Raw genomic sequence first — 26,771 nt, 5'->3', positions numbered from 1 at the left:
TAAGTTGGACTTCCTTAAAATTGAAAATTTGTGCTCTGCAAAAGACACTGTCAAGTGGATAAAAAGAGAAGCCACAGATTGGGAGAAAATATTTGTAAGACATATCCGATACAAGACTATTATCTAAAATAGACAAAAAATTCTTTGAGAGGGAGTCTCGCTCTGTCCCCCAGGCTGGAGAGCAGTGGCGCGATCTCGCCTCACTGCAAGCTCTGCATCCCAGGTTCATGTCATTCTCCTGCCTCAGCCTTCCGAGTAGCTGGGACTACAGGCACCCACACCACGCCCGACTAATTTTTTTGTATTTTTAGTAGAGACGGGGTTTCACCGTGTTAGCCAGGATGGTCTCAATCTCCTGACCTTGTGATTCACCCGCCTCAGCCTCCCAAAGTGCTGGGATTACAGGCGTGAGCCAACGCCCCCGGCTGACAAAGAATCTTAAAACTCATCAATAAGAAAACACCCGATTAAAAAATGTACCAGGCTGTGCCTGGTGGCTCACGCCTGTAACCCCAGTACTTTGGGAGTCCGAGGCTGGTATATCACTGGAGCCCAGGAGTTTGAGACTAGCCTGGCCAACATGGTGAAACCCCGTCTCTACTAAAAATACAAAAATTAGCCAAGCATGGTGGCATGCCACTGTAGTCACAGCTACTCACTCTGGAGGCTGAGGTGGGAGGATCACTTGAGCCTGGGAGGCGGAGGCTGCAGTGAGCTGAGAATGCACCACTGCACTCCAGCCTGGGCAACAGTGAGACCACTATCTCAAAAAAAAAAAAAAAAAAAAAAAAAAAAAAAAAAAAGACCAAACACCTTGATAGACATCACACCGAAGAAGATATTCAGATGAGAAATAAGCATATGAAAAGATGCTTCTTGTGCAGGATCTGGATTTTTTCTAAGAAAGAAAAAAAGATGCTTCGCATCATATGTCATCAGTGAAATGCAAACACAATAATACCATACCTCAAAAAAAACTATGATGAGGATGATATGTTTTTTAAAGACAGAATCTCCTTCTGTTGCCAAGGCTGAAGTGCAGTAGTATGATCATAGCTCACTGCAGTCTCAACCTCCTGGCAGTCCTCCACCTCGGCCTTGCAAAGTATTGAGATTACAGGTATGAGTCACAGTGCCCATCCTACACACCTATTAGAATGACCAAAATCCAGAACACTGGCAACACCAAATGCTGGAGAGGATGTGTAGCAACAGGAACTCATTCGTTGCTAGTGGGAATGTAAGATGGAAGACTACTTTGTAAGGCAGTTTGGCAGTTTATTAAAAAACGAAACAGGCCAGGCACAGTGGCTCACGCCTGTAATCCCACCGAGATCACACCAGTGCACTCCAGCCTGAGTGACAGAGACTCCGTCTCAAAAAAATAAAAATAAAAATAAAATAAAATAAAATAAAAAATGAAACATACTCTTACCCCATGATCTAGCAATCACACTCCTTGGTATTTAACAAGGAAGCTTTGGCATTTACAAAAGAAGTTGAAAGTTTATGTCCACACAAAAGCCCACGTATGGATTTTGTTTGTTTTTGTTGTTTTTTGGTTTTTTGTTTGTTTTGAGACAGGGTCTCACTCTGTCACCCAGACTGAAGTGCAATGGTGCAATTATAGCTCATTGCAGCCTCAAACTCCAGGACTCAGGTGGTTCTCCTACCTCAGCCTCCCGAGTAGCTAGGACTATAGGCATGTGCCACCACACCAGGCTGGTAACTTCTATTAGATATCCTCTTGGAGCTATTGAGTTTTAAGTTGTATGAATGCATTGCATTACATTTCAAATTTAAAATACAATTTTAAAAATAAGAATGTTAACTAGATAATTATGTAACAACTTAAAAACTTTGCTTACCAGAATTTTATTAAAATGTTATTTGGCTTTCGATCATTTAAAAAATTCTTCATTTCTTAAAGATTTATCTAATTTCTCTACCAAGCATACACAGTAATAATAGCAACAAGAAAATTACCATCAGGGAGACATAAAAGCAGTATAATGAAGCTAGTTTAGCAAGAAGGGGTGCAAATAAGAAACGAATACTCAGAGGATCTCAGCTTTTTATTTAAAAAAATTGAAAGATTTTGAACATGCATATTAGATTTTATTAATTAAATATGTTACAGGACCATTCTGGAGAGAATTATATATCTCATGGCGGGGATTCCTGGGGAATCTTTAATGAGGGATAAACTCCAAGGGCCAGAGAAGCTGTTCACCACACTTTTTTTCCTACCCTTTCCCCCAAGCAATCCCCTACTCACAGAGGAACTGCCCTTATTCAGGAGCTGAAAGAGGATACCAGAGCTCCTCTCTGTTCTAGCTAGCCTAGGTCCCAAAGAAGACCCCCCAAATACACCGTTTTTTCTTAAAAACATCCTTCACACTTGGTCTGATGATTTTTACTTGTTAAATGCAATCCGTTGGCCGGGCACAGTGGCTCACACCTGTAATCCTAACACTTTGGGATGCTGAGGCAGGTGGATCACCTAAGGTCAGGAGTTCGAGACCAGCCTGGCCAAATGGTGAAACCTGGTCTCTATTAAAAATACAAAAATTAGCTGGGCGTGGTGGCAGGCGCCTATAACCCCAGCTACTTGGGAGGCTGAGGCAGGAGAATCGCTAGAACCCAGGAGGCAGAGGTTGCAGCAAGCCAAGATCATGCCATTGCTTTCCAGCCTGGGTCAAAGAGCGAAACTCTGTCTTAAAAAAAAAATGCAATCCATCAAAAACTTTTTCTTCTAAGTTATTTCTAATTAATTAAGTATAAAATTGAATTCAATTGTTTCAATAATAGTATATACAGAATTCTAAATTATAACTCCATCAGTTTCTTCAAAGCTTTTTAGTTTAACCTTTTCACAATATTTGGTCTCTACTTCCATTGCTATGCGGTTTGTTGAGGCAAGATGTCCCTCTGGAGTGCAGTAGTGCAATCACAGCTCACTACCCCCTCGACATCCTAGGCCCAAGTGACCATCTACTTCAACCTCTCAAGTAGCTGGGACCACAGGTGCGCACCACCATGACCAGTTAATTTTTCCTATTTTTTGTAGAAATAGGGTCTCGCTTTGTTGCCTAGGCTGGTCTCAAACTCCTGGGCTCAAGCAATCCTTCCACGTCGGCCTCCCAAAGTGCTGGGATTGTAGGTGTGAGCCACCACACCTGGCCTGTTTGTTTTTTTAATCCCATGATTTACCTTTCTGTTTCCCCTATACCTGAGACTTGGTAACCATCTCTTCACATACTTACAGTTAATTGTTCACCATTCATCACACCTGGATGTCCTGCATTTGACTGAACATGCCCAGTTCTTTTCACAATTTCTCATAGGTCTAATTTCACAAACCTTTCATCAGTTGCTGTTCTCTGAACAGTCTCCAAGTTTTTTCTCTTTATATAGTATGACATGTAAAATTAAATATAGTTTGTTCCAACTGAAGCCTGCCCAGTGCCAAATAAAGCAAAAATAATTGCTTCCCTCCTTTTTCATGCATATGCCTTAATACAATTCTATGAAGTATTTGTCTCTTATTTCAATTCATCCAACTTAACACCAACCATAATTGTTGGCTCTCCCTTGGCTGTTTCATCTACAGCTGTCTTTGCCAGTATTTCCGCATGTTTGCTGCAATTCAGTAGCATATTAAAAGTTACATGTTAAATTTCTAAGAGGAATTCTTTCACACATTTTTTATTTAAAAATTGCCCCATGAACAATGTGGATGTAGTGTTTGGGGCCTCAAGAACTAAGGCTTGAACAATTCCAAGTACTTTGGTGGTGGGAACTGGAAAGACAGATTTAGATGGAGAGGTACCAGAAGAGATTGCTGAAAACCGGAGAAAGATGGCTGCCTTTGGTTTTCTCTTTGTTTTTGTTTTTTGAGACAGAGTTTCGCTCTTGTGGCCCAGGCTAGAGTGCAGTGGTGCGATCTCGGCTCACTGCAACTTCCACCTCCTGGGTTCAAGCGATTCTCCTGCCTCAGCCTCCAGAGTATCTGGGACTACCGGCGCGTGCCACCATGCACAGCTAACTATGTATTTTTAGTAGAGACAGGGTTTCACCATGTTGGCCAGGCTGGGAGATCAAACTCCCGACCTCAGGTGATCCACCTGCCTCAGTCTCCCAGAGTGGTGGGATTACAGGTGTGAGCCACGGCGCCGGGCCAACTGCCTTTGTTTTCTGCTATCACAGTTCTTTGGTTGTAAGCAAGGGAAACCAATTTCAGCTAATGTAAGCAAAGGGGAATTTGTCAGAACTATATCAGAGGATTTTCAGCTGGCTGGAGAATCATGCTTAGAAACTGGCAAACACCAACAATGCTCCCAAAAGCAGCTATCTCAGGCATAGTTTATAGAAGAAGAGAGCTGGGTGTGGTGGTTCACAACTACAACTCAGTGCTTTGGGAGGCTGGAGGTGGGAGGATTGCTTGAGGCCAAGGGTTCAACATCATCCTGGGCAACATAGTGAAACCCTGTCTCTACAAAAAATAAGTTTAAAAAATAAGGCAGGTATAGTGGCACACTCCTCAGGAGACAGAGAGGAGGATTGCTTGAGCCCAGGAGTTCAAGGCTGCAGTGAGTTATGATTGCACCACTGCATTCCAGCCTGGGCATCAGTGTGAGACCATGTCTCTTTAAAAAAAAAAAAAAAAAAAAAAGCATTAGTGTCCATCTTTGGGGCCTCTTCCTTGGTTCTTCCCCAGTTCCAAATTCTAAACAAACCTGGACACTGGATGTGAGGCACTGTGGGGGATTCTAAGAGTAAAAATACACAACCAGTGCCCTTCGGGATGTTACAATCTAGGAAGGAGAGAAAGATACACAAATAGTGAAATATAAACCCAAGTGTTAAATATGCTCTAAGAAAAGTAAAATGTGGCCAGGCACACAGGCTCACACCTGTAATCCCAGCACCTTGGGAGACTGAAGCGGGAGGATCACTTGAGCCTAGGAGTTTGAGACCAGCCTGGAAAACATGGTGAGACCCCGTCTCTAGTAAAAAAAAAAAAAAAAAAAATTAATTAACTTAAAAAAAAAATAAAGTAAGCCCGGCTTGGTGGCATGAACCTGTAGTCCCAACTACTTGGGAGGCTGAGGCGGGAGAATTGCTTGAACCCGGAAGGCGGAAGTTGCAGTGAGCCGCTGGAGGTTGCAGTGAGCCAAGATCGTGCCACTGCACTCCAACCTGGTGACAGAACAAGACTCCGTCTCAAAAAAAAAAAAAAAAAAAAAAAGTAAAATGTGCTAAAAGCCAAGTTCCCAATTGTCTCCTGGTTACGGAGAAATAGATGTTCCCAATAACTCTCACGGTAACTATGGTTGGCATAAGGTGCATTTAGACTAGCTTTAACAATTATTTTCTCATTGAACTTCTTCACTCAGATACTGCAGTATTTCCAGACAGGTAAGTACCCTAACCTATGTAAAAGTCCCCTTAGCGCTTGTTTTACCTTCACCCTAGGAAATCTCACATTCAGAGGATACCTCATCAACATCATCTGCTCAGATGTCCTCTTGCTCAGCACTTGCAACATTAGTGAAATAACACATTGGTATGTCACTTTTTTGTTTCTTTTTTTTTTTTTTTTTTTTTTTTGAGACGGGGTTTCGCTCTTGTTGCCCAGGCTGTAGGGCAATGGTGCAATCTCACTGCAACCTCTGCCTCCTGGGTTCAAGCAGCCTCCCAGGTAGCTGGGATTACAGGCGTGTGCCACCATGCCCAGCTAATTTTGTATTTCTTTACTAGAGATGGGGTTTCACCATGTTGGTCAGGCTGGTCTTGAACTCCTGACCTCAAGTGATCCACCTGCCTTGGCCTCCCAAAGTGCCAGAATTACAGGCATCAGCCACTGTGGCTGGCACCCCACCTCCCATTTTATTTTTTCTTTAGCAGAGACGAGGTCTTGCTATGTTGCTCAGGCTGGTCTTAAACTCCTGAGTTCTCCCACCTCAGCCTCCAAAAGTGCTGGGATTACAGGCGTCAGCTACCATGCCTATCCACATTTTGTTTTTTTGTTTTGGTTTGGTTTGGGTATGTCACTTTTTGATATTAGGTGATCCAAAATAATTTATCTTGGTATGCAAGATGTTCAAGGAACAAACATCTACAATAAGGTACCAAAGTTTTGAATTATTTATCTGTGTATATGTATGTATACCCACACAGACCATTATGAGGCATTTTAGAAATCACTTTCTCACATGCATTCCAATATAATTTCCTGAGAGAGAAAGGAGTTCCATGCAGGGAGTTATACATAAACCACAGCCTACTTTTATGGCCATTTTGAATTACTTTTGTATTTCAAATTCACTTTTTAAAACTTCACCCATGGGGCGGGAGGATTGCTTGAGCCCAGGAGTTCGGGACAGCAGTGAGGTATGATCATGCCACTGCACTCCAGCATGGGCAACAAAGCAAGACCCCCATCTCTAAAAAAATCAATAAATAAAGGAAACTTCACCCATACCCACAGAAGAGAAAATTGTGAATGAGTGCATCAACATCTACAGTACACAAAAACAGTAGTCTCTGAACATTGTTAGTAGGGTCCTAACAGTTATGATAGCCAAGTGAAAACTCTCAAAGGAAAGTGAAAATATTCCTTATATCAATAACATGGAGGGAATCTACCAATTTTATGTTTTTAACAATAAATTTTATGCCTTTTCAAATAATGTGTACTTGTTTTATTGGTGTTGTGAGTAAAGGCTGGGGGAGAAATCATGATATTTAAAAATTAGATATGCTACATTTTGGCAATTCTTACATAACTGATTTCACTATTGTTGAATTCTTAACATTAAGTGAACATCTTTTGTTTTTCTTTTTGTTTTTTGTTTTGTTTGACAGGGTCTCACTCTGTCATCCTGGTTGAAGTGCATTGGTGCGAACACAGCTCACTGCAGCCACAGCTTTCTGGGCTCAAGTGATCCTCCCCCCCAACTTCAGCTTCCCAAGTAGCTGGGACTGCAGGTGTACGCCTGCCCAGCTAATTTTTTATGTTTTATAGAGGCAGTGTCTCGCTTGTTGCCTAGGCGGATCTTGAACTCCTGGGCTTAAGTGATCCTCCCACCTTAGCCTCTCATAGAGTTGGGATTATAGGTGTGAGCCACTGGACCCAAGGCTTTTCTTTTTTTGAAACAGTCTCACTCTGTTGCCCAGGCTGGAGTGCAGTGGCATTATCAGAGCTCACTGCAGCCAAGACTTCCCAGGTTCAAGCATCCTCCCGCCTGAGCCTCCCTAGTAGCTGGAACTACAAGCACTTACCATTACACCAGAATAATTTTTTTAATTTTTAATTTTTGTAGAGATGGGGTCTCACTATGTTGCCCAGGGTAGTCTCGAACTCATGGGCTCAAGTGATCCCCCTGCCTCGGCCTCCCAAAGTGCTGGGTTTATAGGCATGAGCCACCATGATGCCCAGCCTTAAGTGAATATTTAACAAAATGATTTTGTAGTATTATTTTCTTCATTTACTAATAAAATTGTTGCAGGGTGTTTTTTTTTTTTTCCTTTTTTCCCCAAATTTGAGTACATCCATGGAAATACATCATACAGATAAACATCATCCATTCTTTGTGATAATGTGGAAAAAAGATTAAGAAACTGCCCTTTAATACTATTTGTATTAAAGAGTATTATTTGGGGATATTTGGGGATAGTTGAGAAATCACTAACCGTTGATGGAAATTTGATTGGGTTTTTTGAGGATAGTCCAAAAGTCATCAAGTACCGATGGAACTTTATCATTCTAAATTCCTTAGAGACTTAAAATTATTTCTTGGAAACTTAAACTTCAGGCTAATGTTGTAATATCACAAGCATCCATGAACGTATCATTTTAAGTAAGAGGTGGTATCTTCTACTCTCCTCCTCTTCAGTCCAGGCCACTGTGATAATGTGCTTATAGATGTGGTAATGCCTCCTCTTGGTACCAAAGCCACATTCATTAGCTTTGTCAAAATAAATGATACCAGTGATACTAATTTCTTGCACTCTCAGTGATGGAACAGGATTTCAATGAAACAGTCCCTTTAGTTTTTACTTTTTTATCACAGCCCCCTTAAATTACAACCCCCTTAAATTAGAACTCTGGTGTGAATCTGTATGAGCTAGAATGGGTGAGAGGTTACCAGGACAGACCCTCGGAATTATCCTTTCACTCAAACACTGGCCTAGGCAGAGATCATTCTTCATGATCTCTGTGCATTTCTGCACATCTGGTGAGTGAAGCACTGACTGCCCTTCTTTCAGGACTCTCTCTTCAGGGATGTTTGTAGAGCAAACAGTCTTAGAGGATAGGAATAAGGTTTTCCAGAGCAAAGGGCAAGCAAGTTTATTGCCACTATAAAAGATTCAGGCTCCTGAAGCTGAAGGTTCCCCTTCTGTAAAGCAGCCCACTGCAAGGGCAGATGCCATCTGGCCTTCTTTGCCTCTCCCTATGGAAATTGGGACTTTGCTAACTAATGCCAAAAACAAACCACAAAACTGATACTCTGGCTATTGCTATGGCTATTGCTGTGAGTAAGAAACTCTTCATTCTGGCTCAGGACTATGATATCTTCTGCCAGCATCCATGTGCCAGGCGAACTTTTTAGCTTGTAAGTTGGGTGAAATCTGAGATTGTTTACGGTTTTTCACATTGCCTTAAACCAAATGCACGCGCTCTGACTCCCAAAAGGCTATTTTGTCCCTTATGTGAATATATCCTCCGGTGGACTAACTCCACCAGTGTTCCAGATGGACGCCCCCATGGCTGAGTCCTAGAGGGAACAGAGCTTAGACTTAAATCGGGACCCCTGCTACACAACTCTGCCAGTGTAAATTATTGTCATTATCCAAAGGCAGACTTCTCACTGTGCTCATTATGATGCCTATGTCACAACTAAGGAGGCCCTCCCCCTTGACATACACTCTGCCTCTGTCCTGCCGCTTTATATCCCATGGCTCCCATGAAGTCTTCCTCAGTTATTCCACCTGTGTTAGATCTTTTTCAGTTGCATGGAACAGAAACTCAACTTATAATTAAAGATTAAACGCTGGCTAATGACCAAAAACTAAAGTGATGAAGACATTCATTACTTGGTTTGTTTATCCTTGTATTCTCACAGTTAATTTCCTTGATTAAAAAAATATATATATATACTGACTGACGGGGCGTGGTGGCTCACATCTGTAATCCCAGCACTTTGGGAGGCCAAGGCAGGTGGATCACTTGAGGTCAGGAGTTCAAGACCAGCCTGGCCAACCTGGTGAAACCGTGTCTCTACTAGAAATACCAAAAAATGGCTGGGCACGGTGGCTCACAGCTGTAATCCCAGCACTTTGGGAGGCCGAGGTGGGTGGATCACGAGGTCAGGAGATCAAGACCATCCTGGTCAACGTGGTGAAACGCCATCTCTACTAAAAACACAAAAATTAGCCAGGCATGGTGGCACGTGCCTGTAATCCCAGCTACTCAGGAGGCCTAGGAAGGAGAATCGCTTGAACCAGGGAGTCAGAGATTGCAGTGAGCTGAGATCGAGCCACTGTACTCCAGCCTGGCGATAAAGTGAGAGTCTGTCTCAAAAAAATAAAAATAAAAAGAAGAAATATGGCCTGGTGCAGTGGCTCACGTCTATAATCCCAGCACTTTGGGAGGCCAAGGCGAGCAGATCACCTGAGGTCGGGAGTTCAAGAATAGACTGACCAACATGGAGAAACCCTGTCTCTACTAAAAAAACAAAATTAGCCGGGCTTGGTGGTGCATGCCTGTAATCCCAGTTACTTGGGAGGCTGAGGCAGGAGAATCACTTGAACTCGGGAGGAGGAGGTTGCAGTGAGTCGAGATCACACCACTGTACTGCAGCCTGGGCAACAGAGTAAGATTCTGTCTCAAAAAATAAAAATAAAATAAATAAAAGTGCTGACTGAGTTTATTTCTTGGTTTAAAATGGAAACTTATTAAGTTCAGGCATAAATGTAAAATGAAAACATCCTTTTACTAATAACCCTAATGGCATTCTTGTCTTTAGGATGAGGAACGTAAGCCTGTAACAGAAGGAGCCTAAGAGCCCATTTACATTTCTGGAGCTAAAGGCAATGTACCCCAGAGACCCATTTTATCCCCTTCATTTTCTTCTTACCAGAAGAACAATGCAGGATCCTTGCTTCTACACATTCCTGGGCATTTTCTTCTCCGTATCTTTTTTCCAAAAGATATCCTTTCCTTCTTACACAGAAAGGTGGAGAAAAAAAAGTCAAAGGATACAATTTCCACTTTCTTTAACCCATGCTGTGTGCCCAATTATGTCTCCCCAAAAATTCATATATTGAAGTCCTTAAATACCCAAGAATGTGAGTGTATTTGGACACAGGATCTTTAGAGAGGTAATTAGAGTAAAATGAGGTCATTAGAGCAGGCCTCCTTTTTCCCTTTTAATAATAGATCCCTGGCTGGGCGCAGGGAATCGCTTGAACCAAGGAGGCGAAGGTTGCAGTGAGCCGAGATCGCGCCACTGCACTCCAGCCTGGGCGACAAGAGCGAAACTCCATCTCAACAATAAAAATAAAAATAAAAATAAATAATAGATCCCCTCTTCACTCAAAATGATGGGTGGGCACATGACTTCCCAGCTGGAGACATTTCCCAGCTTCCCTTGTAAATCAGTGTGGCCATTTGAACTAGGTTTTGGTTAATGAGATATAAGTGGAAGTGATCAGCATTCTTCTGCTTTAATGACCTCAAGAATGAACTTGCCTACTCTCCACACATTGCCTTACTCAGGGCTGGAATATGGACAGGGTACTGGTGAGCTACTTCAACCCCATGTGGTTGAAGACAACTGCCTGTTACTCAGATATGGAATCTAAATGCAGAGGCAAGTAGAGACATGGCCAGCTGGGTCCCTGGATGAACTCATGTCTATCTTCACAACTGTTACAGGGGAGAAATAAACATTTCTTATTTAAAACAGTTATTTCAGCAAGTTAGCCTAAACATTAACTAATACAGCCAGCAGTAAACTAGTGCTTTTGTGTCAGGCAGTGTATTCAGCTTCTATATAGATTATCTGCTTTAACCCTCACAACAGCCCTGTGATCTTGATGCTGTTATTAACCCTGTTCTATCAATGAAGAAACTGAGGCACAGAGTGGCTCAAGTAATTTGACCAAGATAATGTAGCTAGCAGATGGTAGAGCTAGGAAGTATACTTAGGCAGTTGACTTCAAAAACTAGTTTTTAGGGAACACTTACACACTGTTGGTGGAAAGGTAAATTAGCAAAACCTCTATGGCAAACAGTTTGGAGATTTCTCAAAGAACTAAAAATAGAACTTCCATTTGATTGAGCAATCCCACTAGTGGGTATCTACCCAAAGGAAAAGCAATCACTATATAAAAAAGAAAAAAATGATACCTGCACTCATCTATTTATCACAGTACTATGCACAATAGCAAAGATATGGAATCAACTAAAGTGATGTCTATCAACAAATGATGGGATACAGAAAATGTGATGTGTGTGTGTGTATACATACATAATTATATACATTTTTTTCTTTTTTTTTTTTTTGAGACAAGGTCTGGGTCTATCACCCAGGGTAGAGTGCAGTGGCACGATCTTGGCTCACTGGAACCTCTGCCTCCTGGGCTCAAGCCATCCTCCCACCTCAGCCTTCCTAGTGGCTGGGACTAAAGGCGCGGGCCAACACACCCAGCTAATTTTTGTATTTTTTGTAGAAACAAGGTTTCAGGCCGGGCACAGTGGCTCACCACATGTAATCCCAGCACTTTGGGAGGCCGAGAGGCAAGCAGATCACCTGAGGTCAGGAGTTCGAGACCACCCTGGCCAACCTAGGGAAACCCCGTCTCTACTAAAAATACAAAAATTAGCTGGGCATGGTGGTGCGCGCCTGTAGTCCCAGCTACTCGGGAGGCTGAAGCAGGAGAATCACTTGAACCCAGTAGGTGTAAGTTGCAGTGAGCCGAGATTGCACCACTGCACTCCAGCCTGGGGTGACAGAGTGAGACTCCATGTCAAAAAAAAAAATTAGAAAAGAGGTTTCACCATGTTGCCCAGACTGTTCTCGAAATCATGAGCTGCAGCAATCCACCTGCCTCAGCCTCCTAAAGTGCTGGGATCACAGGCATGAGCCACCACACCTGGCCTGGTGTGCGGGTATATATATATCTCCTGCCTCAGCCTCCCGAGTAGCTGGGATTACAGGCATGCACCATCACTCTCGGCTAATTTTGTATTTTCAGTAGAGATGGGGTTTCTCCATGTTGGTCAGGCTGGAGTGACCTCAGGTGATCCACCCACCTCAGCCTCCCAAAGTGTTGGGATTACAGGTGTGAGCCACCACACCCGGCCCATATATACATATATATTACAATGGAATACTATTTAGCCATAAAAAAATGAAATCGTATCTTTTGTAGCAACATGGGTGGAACTGGAGGCCATTGTCTTAAATGAAACAACTCAGAAACAGAAAGTCAAATACCACATGTTCTCACTTACACATGGAAGTTAAATAATGTGTACAGATGGACATAGAGTGTGGACCAATAGACACTGGAGACTTGGAAGGGTGGGTGGGAGGGGTAGAGGAGTGAAAAATTATTTAATGGGTACAATATACATTATTTGGGTGAGTAAAAGCCCAGACTTCACCACTACAATATATTCACATCACAAAACTGCTCTTGTATCCCTTACATTTATACCAAAAAGCTACCTTTTACTGGTTAACTTTAGTACATCCCCTGAGAGAATTTGAGATGCTTTGCAAGGGCTAAAAATAGAGGCATTCCTGTTTTACCAGTCAATTTTGTTCAGTTTCCTGTCTGGTACCTGCATAAGAAAAATGAATTTTTAAAATAATTGGTGATTTTAATGTATTCATCTTTTGCGTTATAAAACTCTACTCTGGAAGATACTCTTTAGACATTCCAGATATTGGAATTTTATTACAGTAAAATTTCCAAAATAATTTTGGAGACTAACATGGACTTACTTTCTTCTTTCTTCCTCTTTTTTCTTTCTTTCTTTTTCTTTCTCTTTTTCTTTTCTTTCTTTTTCTTTCTTTCCTTCTTTCTTTCTCTCTCCCTCCTTCTTCTCTCCTTCTTTCCTCTCTCTCCTTCCTTCCTCTCTCTCCTTCTTTCCTCTCTCTGTCTCCTTCCTTCCCTCCTTCCTTCCTCTCTCTCCTTCTTCCCTCTCTCTGTCTCCTTCCTTCGTTCCTTCCTTCCTTCCTTCCTTCCTTCCTTTTTCTTTCTTTTCTTTCTTGACAGAGTCTCACTCTGTCACCCAGGTGGAAGTACAGTGGTGCACTCTCGGCTTGCTTCCCAGGCTCAAGTGATTCTCATGCCTCAGCCGCCCAACTACCTGGGACTACAGGCGTGCGCCACCATGCCTGGATAATTTTTGTATTTTTTAGTAGAGACGGGGTTTCACCATGTTGGCCAGGCTGTTCTCGAACTCCTGACCTCAGGTGCTAGGATTATAGGCGTGAGCCACCACGCCCGGACTAACATGGAGTTTTTTAACTTTTGTTTTTGCCAAGGTGAGTACCTTGAAATGTTAAAAACCTATTCATTCCCATCATTTACAAAAAGGACATTTTAACTCCAAGATAAATAGGAAAGTCAAAGACTGGGCCAAAAAAGGAATTTATTGTAATTAAACTGGATAAATTTTTCTTCCACTGTTTGGTGCTTGAAATCTATCACATTCCACCCAGTGGAAGTGAGCCTCTGATGATGAAAAAGGGTATTTTCTCTAAGTTTACTTAAACAACAGTCATCATTGGGCCATTTAAAATTCTTGGGCATGGTGCCTCACTCCTGTAATCCCAGCATTTTGGGAGGCCGAGGCGGGCGGATAATGAGGTCAGGAGTTCGAGACCAGCCTGGCCAACATGGTGAAACCCCATCTCTACAAATCCAAAAATTAGCTGGGCGCAGTGGTGTGCGCCTGTAGTCCCAGCTACTCAGGAGGCTGAGGCAGGAGAACCACTTGAACCTGGGAAGCGGAGGTTGCAGTGAGCCGAGATCACGCCCATTGCACTCCAGCCTGGGTGACAGAGTGAGAACCCGTCTTAAAAAAAAAAAAATTATTGGCGGGGCCTGGTGTCTACAAATCATACATTTCTTTAGTGTGAAGGCAGCACTAACTGTAGCAGGATATTGCTTCACACATCTAACCTCTTGTAGTTTATTTCACTAAACTGAGTTTTGCAACATGGAAATAGTATGTACCTTATTTCCTCACATACTTCCATCTCATAAAATTTATCCTAGAACCTATTTGGGGTATCAAATAAAAGGTGATTTTTATGGTTTTAAAGTCTCTCTGTTCTCCCTCTCCCTAGCTCCCCACCTAGATAGGCTGCCATTATGATCGCTAACAGGAAAACTGATAGATTTAAAATTACTGTTTATGTTATTATCTGTGCAGGAACAATCAAAAAATAATTTTTGTCTCATTCTGCTGTAGAGACAAAAAATTTCGTTCTTTCTTTTTTTTTGAAATGGAGTTTTGCTTGTTGCCCAGACTGGAGTGCAGTGTCGAGATCTCAGCTCACTGCAACCTCCGCCTTGCGGGTTCAAGAGATTCTCCTGCCTCAGCCTGTCGAGTAGCTGGGATATAGGTGCCCACAACCAAGCCCAGATAATTTTCTGGTAATTTTTAGTACAGACGGGGTTTCACCATGTTGACGACGCTGGTCTCAAACCCCTGACCTCAAATGAACTGCCCACCTCTGGTTCCCAAAGTGCTGGGATTATAGGCATGAGCCACCACGCCTGGCTGACAAAAATATTTTTAAAAATTCTCCTAATAGCTGTTTTGTTTTGTTTGTTTGTTTTTTATTTTAGGATCTTGCTCTGTCACCCAGGCTGGAGTACAGTAGCACCATCACTGCTCACTGTAGCCTCGACCTGCTGGGCTCAAGTGATCCTCCCATCTCAGCCTCCTGAGTAGGGGACTACACACAGGCACCACCATGATCCGGTAATTTTTAAATTTTTTGTAGAGACTGGGTCTTTTTTTTTTTTTTTTTTTTTTGAGATGAAGTCTCTCTCTGTCGTCCAGGCTGGAGTGCAGCGGCGCGATCTCGGCTCACAGTAACCTCTGCCTCCCAGATTCATTCAAGTGATTCTACTTCCTTAGCCTCCCAAGTAGCAGGGACTATAGGCGCCCGCCACCACGCCCGGCTAATTTTTGTTTCTTTTTTGGTTGTTGTTGTTGTTCGAGACAGAGTTTTGCTCTGTCTCCCAAGCTGGAGTGCAATGGCACGATATCAGCTCACTGCAACCTCTGCCTCCCGGGTTCAAGTGATTCTCGTGCCTCAGCCTTCCAAGTAGCTGGGATTATAGGTGCGCGCGACCACGTCCAGCTAATTTTTGTATTTTTAGCAGAGACAGAGTTTCACCACGTTGGCCAGGCTGGTTTCGAACTCCTGAGCTCACACGATCTGCCTGCTTTGCCCTCCCAAAGTGCTGGGATTATAGATGTGAGCCACTGCTCCCTGCCCTTTTTTTTTTTTTTTTTTTTTCAGAGTCTCACTCTGTTGCCCAGGCTGGAGTGCACTGGTGCAATCTCGGCTCACTGCAACCTATGCCTCCCGGGTTCAAGTGATTCTCCTGCCTCAGCCTCCGGAGTAGATGGGATTACAGGTGCCCGCCACCACACCCAGCTAATTTTTGTATTTTCAGTAGAGACAGGGTTTCACCATGTTGGCCAGGCTGGTCTCAAAGTCCTGACCTCAGGTGATCCACCACCTCAGCCTCCCAAAGTGCTGGGATTACAGATGTGAGCCCAGCCCCTGACTGCTGTTTGAGATATATGTTAGTTTCCTGAATTTGTGCTGAATATGGAGATGCTCTTCTAGGCCAAAGAAGTATTAAAGAAAATGATTACCTTAAAAAGCTAATTTGGGCCGGGTGCGGTGGCTCACGCCTGTAATCCCAGCACTTTGGGAGGCCGAGACACGCAGATCACAAGGTCAGGAGATCGAGACCATCCTGGCTAACACCGTGAAACCCCGTCTCTACCAAAAATACAAAAAATTAGCCGGGCACGGTGGCGGGCGCCTGTAGTCCCAGCTACTCGGGAGGCTGAGGCAGGAGAATGGCATGAACCCAGGAGGCAGAGCTTGCAGTGAGCCGAGGTCGCGCCACTGCACTCCAGCCTGGGTGACAGAGCGAGACTCCATCTCAAAAAAAAAAAAAAAAAAAAAAAAAAGCTAATTTAAAGGCTGCATGCAGTGGCTCATGCCTGTAATCCCAGTATTTGGGAGGCTGTGGTGGGAGGATTGCATGAGCCTAGGAGTTTGAGAACAGCCTGGGCAACAAAGCAAGACCCCATTTCTTAAAAAAATAAATAAAAAAATATTAGCTGGGCACAGTGGTGTGCACCTATAGTCCCAGCTACTTGGGAACCTGAGGTGGGAGGATCACTTGAGGCCAGGAGTTAGAGGCTGCAATGAGTCATGATGTCCCACTGCACTCCAGTCTGAGTGACAGAGCTAGACGCTGTCAAAAAAAAAAAAAAAAAAAGGCCCGGTGCTGTGTCTCACACCTGTAATATCAGCACTTTGGGAGGCTGAGGTGGGCGGATCACCTGCGGTCAGGAGCTCGAGACCAGCCTGACCAACATGGAGAAACCCCGTCTCTACTAAAAATACAAAAAATTAGACGGGCGTGGTGGGGGGCGCCTGTAATCCCAGCTACTCTGGAGGCTGAGGCAGGAGAATCGCTTGAACCCAGGAGGCGGAGGTTGCAGTGAGCTGAGATCGCGCCATCTAGCCCAGGCGACAGAGCAAGAGTCCGTCTCAAAAAAAAAAAAAAAAAGTTAATTAAAAAATTGCAATGTACTTGAATTTCCTCAGGTATCACCAGTCTGTGGGTACAAAAGGAGAGTAACATGAACGATTCAAATTCCACTGGCTCTTGTTCCCATGGATTCACAGAAGTTCAGCCCCATTTCAAAACTTCACATTTGCTTCTGGGAAGCCCATTCTGGAAAGTTTCTCTGTGGCCCTCTCCAGAAGGCAGCGCGACTTCCACCCAGCAACACAAGTCTCTGCAGCACCTGCCCCAGCAGCGCCAGCTGAGCCCCGGAAGCTGGGAAGGCTTAAGCTGACTCTTCTGCTGCACATAGCAAAAAATGGTCATTTCTGTAGTTGCAGCTCCAGATCTACAATAATCAATCTATATCCATATTTTATGGGGTTTTTTTGAGACAAAGTCTTGCTCTGTTACTCAGGCTGGAGTGCAGTGGCATTATCATCATTCACTTGTAGCCTTGACCTCCCTGGCTCAGGTGATCCTGTCACCTCAGCCTTCCAAGTAGCTGAGACCACAGGCATGCACCACTAAGCCTGGCTAATTTTTCAATTTTTATTTTTCGTAGAGACAGGGTCTCCCTGGGTTGCCCAAACTGGTCTTGAATTCCTGGGCTCAAGCAATCCTCCTGTCCCGGCACCCCGAAGTGTTGGGACTACAGGCATGAGCCACTGTGCACAGCCCTTTTTGTTTTTGTTTTTGTTTTTTTTTAAAGGTAATTTCCCAGTGGAATCCTCGAGATTTCTTCACGTTTTTGGAAAAATGAGTTACATTTTAGATTGTTTTCCTTTTTGGAATTTAATGGTATACATTATATTACATAGCTATGTTGAGCTCTATTTCTATTACACTAAAAAGTAGGCTAATTGTCTTAACTTTCATCAGTAATGACATTAAATGTGTGAAGATTATACTTGGAATAAAGCACTTGGATTCATTCATTTCTTCAGTAAATATTTATTGAGCACTAGTATGTTCCAACGAGTGTCTGTCTACATTCTGGGGACAAGTGATAACTAAATCCCTGTCCTCGTGGAGAGTTAACAATCAACAAACTAACAAACATTTAATTTATGTCATCAACTCATTTCCACAAATATAACAACATCTTGACTTCAAGTTTCCTGAGTTTCTGGTCTAAAGAATTGCTACCTTCAAGAGCTCAAATCATTTGTTGGGGAGAGAGGCCTGTGATATATTTTCTCCTTTACAATGAAAGTAGCTGTAAAAAGAGGAAGAGAAATTCTGAGGGTAAAGATAAAAAATGTTGAAATCTTCTTTCTGGATTTCAGATTGAGTCTCTTGCCCTAATTGATGCAATTTACACTCCATGCATCTCCTTCCCTGGACCTTCTCCAGTTCTTGGGGACTACAGATGAACTTACTTTTAATGCATTTTATGGCATTTGGAGGCCCTCCAGTGGACAAATACTATACCTGAAAAAAATCCTTTTGCTGTGCTAAAGTGTTCAGGTGTGAAGTGTACTCATGTTTGCAAATCACTTTGAAATATATAAACAAAAATGAATTAATGGATGAATAGAGTGATGCATAGATCATTAGACATGTGATAAAAATAACTGTTAATTGTAGAATCTAGATGATGAGTATATTATATGATATGGCCCACTGTATAATTCTTTCAACTTTTCTGTTTGAATGTTTGATAATAAAATATTGAATAAAAATCTTTTTGCTAAAGATTTATGCCTTGTAGTTCACATTATTGAAAATTTTGCTGAGATAACGTAAATTACCTTTCAAAAATCATCTTAAAAATTGTCTTAATAAACATGGATTAATTTTTATTTTTATTTTTGAGACAAGGTCTTACTCTGTCACCCAGGCTGGAATGCAGTGGCATGATCATGGCTCACTGCAGCCTTGAGCTTCCAAGCTCAAGAGATCCTCCCATCTCAGCCTTCTGAGTAGCTGGGACTAGAGACTAATTAAAAAATTAACCCAGCTAATTAAAAAACATTTTTTTTTTTTGAGATGGAGTCTCGTTCTGTTGCCCAGGCTGGAGTGGAGTGCAGTGGTGTGATCTTGGCTCACTGCAACCTCTACCTCCTGCCTCAGCCTCCTAGTAGCTGGGATTACAGATGTGCGCCACCACGCCTGGCTAACTTTTTTATTTTCTGTAAAGATGGGGTTTTGCCATGTTGGCCAGGCTGCCCTTGAACTCCTGACCTCAAGTGATTCACCTGCATCAGCCTCCCAGAGTGTTGGGAATCCAGGCATAAGCCACTGCACCAAGCCTTAAAAATGTTTTCGTAGAGACAGGGTCTCACTATCTTGCCAATGCTGGTCTTGAACTCCTGGGCTCAAGCAATCCTCTTGCCCCAGACTCCCAAAGTGCTGGGATTACAGGCACAAGCCCCTACACCCTGCCTGGATTAATTTTTAAATGTCTGAAAAACACTTATTTTTAGAAAGTTTAGACAATGTAAATGTGAAATAGCTCTATGAATTCTTTGTTTGAAAAAAGGCTTATCTTCCTGGAATATGTGTTTTATGAACTCAGGAAATTGTTAACAAGTTAACTGAATTTACTTTGCTTTTTAAATTAGAGAGGCGATTGTTTGAGAATTATTGACAATAATTTTTCTTAGAGGAGATGCATTGGTCTGGGTTCAACGCAGAGGTAAAATCTACCCTTAGCTGGTTTAAGCCAAAAGGGACTTATTACATGGTATATCATAAAATTTGTCAGATTAAAGAAACAGCGTATAAGCACTTTGGGAGGCCGAGGTGGGCAGATCACAAGGTCAGGAGTTTGAGACCAGCCTGGCCAATATGGTGAAACCCTGTCTCTACTAAAAATACAAAAATTAGCTGGGTGTGGTGGCCCTCGCCTGTAGTCCCAGCTACCCAGGAGGCTGAGGCAGGAGAATTGCTTGAACCCGGGAGGCGGAGGTTGCAGTGAGCCAAGATCGTGCCACTATACTCCTGCCTGGGCGGCAGAGAGAGACTCCATCTCAAAAAAAAAAAAAAAGAAAAAAGAAACAGTGTACAGGCTGAGCTTCAGGAGTGACTCACAAATCCACTTTATAGACCTGGGCTATCAAAACATGCTGTTGATGCCAGGATCCGGAAGCCAGCCCCTACAGCCGCTAGTTCCAGAGCCACATTACCTTTCCTATAAAACACTCCATCAGGAAGGATGCCTCATAATCTGTCTCTCTGCCACTCAATTATGAATTCTTCACTATATGCAAGTGCTTCTAGAAGTGGTTGGTTGGTTTGTTTTCAGACAGGGTCTCATTCTGTTGCTCAGGCTGGACTGCATTGCACAATCATGACGCCCTGCGGTCTTGACCTCCTGGGCTCAAGTGATTATTTTGCCTCAGCCTCCTGACTAGCTGGGACTACAGGTGCACGCCACCATGTCCCACTAATTTTTTTTTCTTTTTCAGAGATGGAGTCTCGCTATGTTGCCCAGGCTGGTCTTGAACTTCTGGGTTCAAGTGATCCTCCCACCTCAGCTGCCCAAAGTGTTGGAATTTAAAATTCATGTAACAGTCTGAAAAGGGTACCTTCTTCACTCTGACTGACGGCCACCTCCTTTCAGACAATTTCTTTGCAAGTTATGTGCATCTGGGTCCACCTGTAAGCAGAAAATCAGGTTAGGCCCTCAAGGAGCTTGCAAGCAAATGTGGAAGACATATTTTATAAACAGCTAATTTTAAATGATGTGGAAAAACTGCACAGAATACAAGAGCTAAGGAAGCCTGATGGAGAAAGCAGCTGATTCTGCCAGAGGTCAAGGGAGTGGTACATGGAGAAGTAGGAAGGCTTTATAAACAAAGTAAACTTGGTGGACTTTGAAAGGTATGTCACTCTACTTTTGCTTTTGGAGAAAGTGGTCAGGGTGGGGCCAAAGGAGCAAAGCACAGAGTTGGAAAATTCCAAGGTATATTTGGGGGCTAAATTTCTGGTTGAAGGTTAGGGTGGAGGAGCGGTGGGAGTGACAGATAAGGTAGAAAGCTTGGAGCTACATAATAGATGTCAAATGCTAAGGCCTTTATGCTCTCATGGTTAATTTCCTGGGAAGAATTACTTAAACAGAGCTGTTACTTCAATATATAATATCACCTAACTCCAGTCCCGCCTCCTCTCCCACATCCTTCATCTAGTATAGAGGGAACAAATCTTCCCTGCATTGTAACCTAGGACAAGTTACTTAACTTCTCTCTTTAACTTGATGTCCAAATCTATAAATGGAGATTGAAGATAGTGCCTATATGGTTAGTTAAATGATTTACTTAAAACAGTATGTGGACACAGTGAGCACCATATGGACGCTTGCTACATAAGTAAGTTGTAGGCAGTGGATACAGCATTGCCTATTAGAAATTCTCAAATAATTGTTTTGAGACATTTAAATAAAAAGGAGGCTGGGCACGGTGGCTCACACCTCTAATCCCAGCACTTTGGGATACCGAGGTGGGTGGATTATTTGAGGTCAGGAGTTTGAGACCAGCCTGGCCAAGATGGTGAAATCCTGTCTCTACAAAAAAAAAAAACAAAAAAATGAGCCAGGCATGGTGGCACGTGCCTGTAATCCCAGCTACTCGGGAGGCTGAGGCAGGAGAATCACTTGAACCCAGGAAGTGGAAGTTGCAGTGAGCCGAGACTGGGCCACTGCATGCCAGCCTGGGTGACAGAGTGAGACCCTGTCTCAAAAAAAAAAAAAAAAGAAGGATTTTTAGACTTGTGCTAACTCCCAATCATGGGCTTAAGACTTTCACAATAAAAATCATTATGTGTATATATCATTCTAGCCTTAAAAAACATAATTGCTAAAAGGACTATTAGAATGCCTTTCTATTTTACAGTCTGGGTAAATGCTTTCCCAGACTTAAGAGCTTCTTAGAGAGTTTTATCAAACATGCAGGCACATTTCTGATTATTTAAGGCTTAAGACTTTGGAAATTCTTTGGCATTTAGCTACAGCCTTTTGACATTTTTGCTGTTCATTACCAGTACCGTGCTGTGGAAAGGAAAAGAGAAGGGACACACAAGGTGATTTTATACACCTACAAACAGTGGAAAAGTGATAGTGGATAGGAAAAAAGTAGAATCTACATGAAATATTTGTAGATTTAACTTATGTTCTGTTCTCCATTATTGTAATTGTTTGTGTCATACATTGCTGCATAATAAACTACCGTAGGCCAGGTGCAGTGGCTCGTGCCTGTAATCCTAGCACGATGAGGGGGTGAAATGGGAACATTGCTTGAGGCCAGGAGTTCAAGACCGACCTGGGCAACATAGCAAGGCCCCATCTCTACATCTGAAAAAATAATAAATTAGAAACCTACTATAAAACATAACTTTAAAAGAACACTTAATGATTTCTCACCATTCTGCATGAGGGCGCTGCTGTATGACTTTCTTCCATGTGATGTGGGTTGGGACTTGTTGGGAATCTCCCCACGTGGTCTCTCATCCGTCCATGGCTTAGCCTGAGCTTCTTTACATGCCAGCAGGACCCCAAGAGACTGAAGCAGAAGGTCTCTTAAGGTCTCAGAACCAGCCCAGAAACACATCTGCTCATTTTATTGGTTAAAGCAAGGCACAAGGCCAGCTCAAATACTAGGGCTGGGAAAACAAACACTACCTTGATGGGAGGAGCTGCAAAATATTGTGGCTATGACTTCCAACACACCTCAGTAGCTGATCAAGTTGACTGTAAAATTAAATTGGACAAAATTGGTAAAAATTCCAGATTCTGACTTCTGCCAGACATTTATTCCATTTTGCATTTATCCCATTTGCATTTATTCCATTTGCAGATCTGCAGATTAGGAAGTAGACAGAAACAGTAAGAAAAAACACGTGGATAGTCTTAATCACTTTTCAAGTTTTTTTTTTTTGGAGATACAGGTTCTTGCTAGGATGCCCAGTTTGTAGTGCAGTGGCTATTGACAGATGATATACCACACTGTGGCCTCAAATTTCTGGGCGCAAATAATCCTCCCACTTCAGCCTCCTGAGTAGCTGGGACGATAGGCACATGCCACTGCGCCCAGCTTCAAGAAGTTTGTTTTTTTTTTTTTTTTGAGACATAGTCTTGCTCTCTTGCCCAGGCTGAAGTGCAATGCCGCGATCTCGTCTCACTGCAACCTCCGCATCCCGGGTTCAAGCGATTCTTTTGCCTCAGCCTCCCAAGTAGCTGGGATTACAGGGGACTGCCACCACACCCAGCTAATATTTGTATTTTTAGTAGAGATGGAATTTCACCATGTTAGCCAGGCTGGTCTTTAACTCCTGACTTCAGGTGATCCACCCGCCTCGGCCTGCCAAAATGCTGGGATTACAGGTGTGAGCCACCATGCCTGGCGAACTCATAGGCTTTAAAACATATGTCTTGGGGACTGGGCGTGGTGGCTCACACCTGTAATCCCAGGACTTTGGGAGGCCGAGGCAGGCGGATCACGAGGTTAAGATATCGAGACCATCCTGGCTAACATGGTGAAACTCCGTCTCTACTAAAAATACAAAAAAAAAAATTAGCTGGGCACGGTGGTGTGTGACTGTAGTCCCAGCTACGCAGGAGGCTGAGGCAGGAGAATCGCTTGAACCCGGGAGGGGGAGGTTGCAGTGAGCCGAGATTGCACCACTGCACTCCAGCCTGGCCATAAAGTCTCGTCTCAAAAAAAAAAATTACACACAATATATATATATATATACACACACACACATACATACATACACACGTGTGTGTGCGTGTGTGTGTGTGTGTGTCTTGGACTCACGCCTGTAATCCCAGCATTTTGGGAGGATGAAGCGGGTATATCACTTGAGGTGAGGAGTTGGAGACCAGCCTGGCCAACATGGTGAAACCCTGTCTCTACTAAAAATACAAAAATTAGCCGGGTATGGTGTCAGGCGTCTGTACTCCCAGCTACTTGGGAGGCTGAGACAGGAGAATCACTTGAACCTGGGAGGCAGAGGTTACAGTGACCACAGATCATGCCGCTGCACTCCAGCATGGGCGCCAGAGCAAGACTGTTTCAAATAAATAAATAAATCATAAAATAAAATAAAGCTTATCAGTGACCCTTGACTTAACTAGCCCCTTTTTCAACTGAGTTAACTAGCACATATGTTTCTTATCCATTAAAGCCTGTATTCCTATCTTCTCTGAAATGTAGAAGCATATAATAGGGTCAGTAGTTAAGAGTGAGGATTTTAGAATAGGAGCTAGATTTAAATTGTGGCTTTGTACTACTTTGTGTGACTTTATAAACATTATCTAAAGTCTGTATTTTTCAGATTCATTCATAAGACAGTCTACCTCATGAGGTTTTTGTGAAGTTTGAATAAATATGTATACAGAGATTAGCAGTGTCTAGCACACGGAAAGCATTCAACAAGGTCAATGATTTTTATTTGACAGGCCTCAGTCTGCAGGAACATATATTTAAGCTTTAAGATTTGCTCAAGCCTCTTGCAAAATGGTCTATGGGGCCTCTGGCAGTAGGGACTTCATATACACTCCCAAACACTGAAGCCACCCAAACAAGCTTTTGTACTAAGCTCTCTGAATTTCGAGTGACTTTTCTAAATTTTTTGACCCATAAATTTCCTCTTGGTTTGCTTTGCTGCCCTCTTCTGGTGGAATGGCAAAAGAGTTAGATGACATTTCCAATCCCTACTGCCACTCAAACTGCTAAAAGCTATCAATATTTTGAATCCTTAGTCAAAGAATCCAACTTGCAAAAATCTCTGGCCTTACATTCAAGTCAATTCAAATGAAAATAAAGTCTAAACGTAAAGCTTCTACCTATGAATTTCAATTTATTTCTATTACATGGAAAGTGATATTGGTAGGTAGAATAATTATTAAAATGGACTACTCATTTTAGGTTGAAAAGATCTAAGAATATTTTGTTATTCTGAATGGCAACAGAAAATTCCTTATAAACTGCATTTCACTTTTCTGAAACAGTGAAATGTGTACATATAGAGTCTTAATTTTAAAAAACTTTTTTCCTAGGCTGGGCACAGTGGCTTACGACTGTAATCCCAGCACTTTGGGAGGCCGAGGCGGGCGGATCACGAGGTCAGGAGTTTGAGACCACCCTGGCCAACAGAGTAAAACCCCATCTCTACTAAAAATACAAAAATCAGTCGGGCATGGTGGCACATGCCTGTAGTCCCAGCTACTTGGGAGACTGAGGCAGGAGAATCGCTTGAACTCGGGAGGCAGAGGTTGCAGTGAGCCTAGATCATGCCACTGCACTCCAGCCTGGGCAACAGAGCAAGACTACATCTCAACAAACAAACAAACAAACAAACAAAAACCAACCAACCAAACCAAAAAAACCCTTCTTTCCTAACGTTAACATCAGCTAATCTCTATATCTTCCAAACTATAATACCTATGTATTATCCTGGTATTTAAAAATTTTAGCATAGAAACTGCATGCAAAATGTTACTGTGTACTTCCTTCAAATACAATGAGAAAGGTAAATACTTAGCCTAATACAGAAAATTATTTAAATCACTTTAACAATTTTCACATTGTTTTGGAAGATATTGTAAACATTCTAGGCTAGGCATGGTGGCTTATGCCTGTTAATCCCAGCACTTTGGGAAGCCGAGGCAGGAGGATCGCTTGAGCCCAGTAGTTCGGTCTGGGCAACATGGCGAAACCCCATCTCTACTGAGAAATACAAAACTTAGCTGGGCGTGGTGGCATGCGCCTGTGGTCCCAGCTACTCGGGAAGCTGAGGTGGGAGGACTGCTTGAGCCTGGAAGGTCAAGGCTGCAGTGAGCCATGACTGCTCCACTGCACACTCCAGCCTGGGTGACAGAGTGAGACTCTGTCTCAAAAAGAAAAAGAAAAAGAAATATTCTAGGTTGTATATAGACAAAGCTAAAATTTAGAAGCAAATGTGCAGAAAGTTTGTACATTTGAATTTTCATTAAACTGCTAATCCTACTGTAGAATTTTGTGATCAGAAAAACATTTCCTTGGTCCTTGATTTTCAGAAAAACATATTTTAAGGAGAAATATACATTGTTTTCTTGTTTACTTCATATTGGCTGTTTGGGTATAAATCTGTAGAAGTTAAAAATATGTTCTTTTTGAAGTATTGGCAAGAGTTCTAAAGTTACAAATACTAGTACATTAAGTCATGATAACAGCACTTATGCCACGTTATCTCTACAAAATGTAAAATGACTGGAATCTTTGGAATTCCCTTCCCCCACTAATTCAACAAAGCTCAGATTTGTCGTACTTTAGAACAGAGAGACTATCTCCTTGAGCTACCCAAGCATTGCTGCTTTTACTGGTCAAATTATTTACGATCTGAATATTGGTCATTTGCATATTTTATAGGAATTATGCACCTTGGAGACAAGGGAACAGGTTGCAGCAAATCTGTTAAAAATACAGTTTATGTTCAAAACTAGATCTACTTTCCATGTTTAGCACAATATGCAAGGGTTGCTTATTGAGTGGAAATATGCCAAAATCTGGGTTAAAGCCTTTGCAGTTCTCTATTTGCCAGAATGAAAACATGAATTTCTGGCCTTTAAGGCTGTGTAACGAAGACCCAGAATTGAAGAATAAAGTACTAAAAAACTGAAATTAACTTTATACACCATTATTTAGAAAGTTATTAATATAATCTGAATTTTTGATACCTAGAATAGCCATTAAAAGCAGGCAATTAGGAGATACCTCTGTAAAAGGCCAAAAGCAACAAGAACTTTACTAAAACCAGCATAAAAGTGAGCTAATTCAATTTAGTATTGTATTTAATATTAAACCAAAATGATTTCATAGATTGCAATAGAGTACCAAATATAGGCCGGGTGCGGTGGTTCACACCTGTAATCCCAGCACTTTGGGAGGCCAAGACCACCAGATGGCTTGAGTCCAGGAGTTTGAAACCAGCCT

The 26,771-nt window shown here is 42.5% G+C and overlaps 2 long non-coding RNA genes across 5 annotated transcripts in view; one reads left to right on the top strand and one right to left on the bottom strand.

The window, feature by feature from the left end:
• The window catches only part of APTR (Alu-mediated CDKN1A/p21 transcriptional regulator), a 39,686-nt gene extending 21,132 nt beyond the window's left edge, over positions 1 to 18,554 (top strand). For 2 of the 3 annotated variants that reach the window (NR_134254.1, NR_134253.1), the window contains one exon: positions 16,896 to 18,554. This is a non-coding gene — a long non-coding RNA (Alu-mediated CDKN1A/p21 transcriptional regulator). Of the gene's footprint in view, positions 1 to 14,880; positions 15,017 to 16,895 lie in introns of all 3 variants that reach the window. The other variant, NR_134251.1, reaches the window with a different exon arrangement.
• LOC105375363 (uncharacterized) lies at positions 17,793 to 22,873 on the bottom strand. 2 transcript variants are annotated; one of them, XR_927695.3, is made up of 3 exons: positions 22,475 to 22,873; positions 22,217 to 22,355; positions 17,793 to 20,458 (listed from the first exon to the last, which is right to left on the bottom strand). It is a non-coding gene; the product is annotated as an uncharacterized LOC105375363 (long non-coding RNA). The 2 variants fall into 2 exon arrangements; XR_007060397.1 differs by having other exon boundaries at positions 22,217 to 22,873.
• Between the last annotated feature and the right edge of the window lie 3,898 nt (positions 22,874 to 26,771).

Source organism: Homo sapiens, chromosome 7 (genome assembly GCF_000001405.40).
Source record: "Homo sapiens chromosome 7, GRCh38.p14 Primary Assembly".
NCBI lineage: Eukaryota > Metazoa > Chordata > Mammalia > Primates > Hominidae > Homo > Homo sapiens.
The sequence above is the reverse complement of the archived record's forward strand: the minus strand, read 5'-3'. Positions and strand labels throughout refer to the sequence as shown.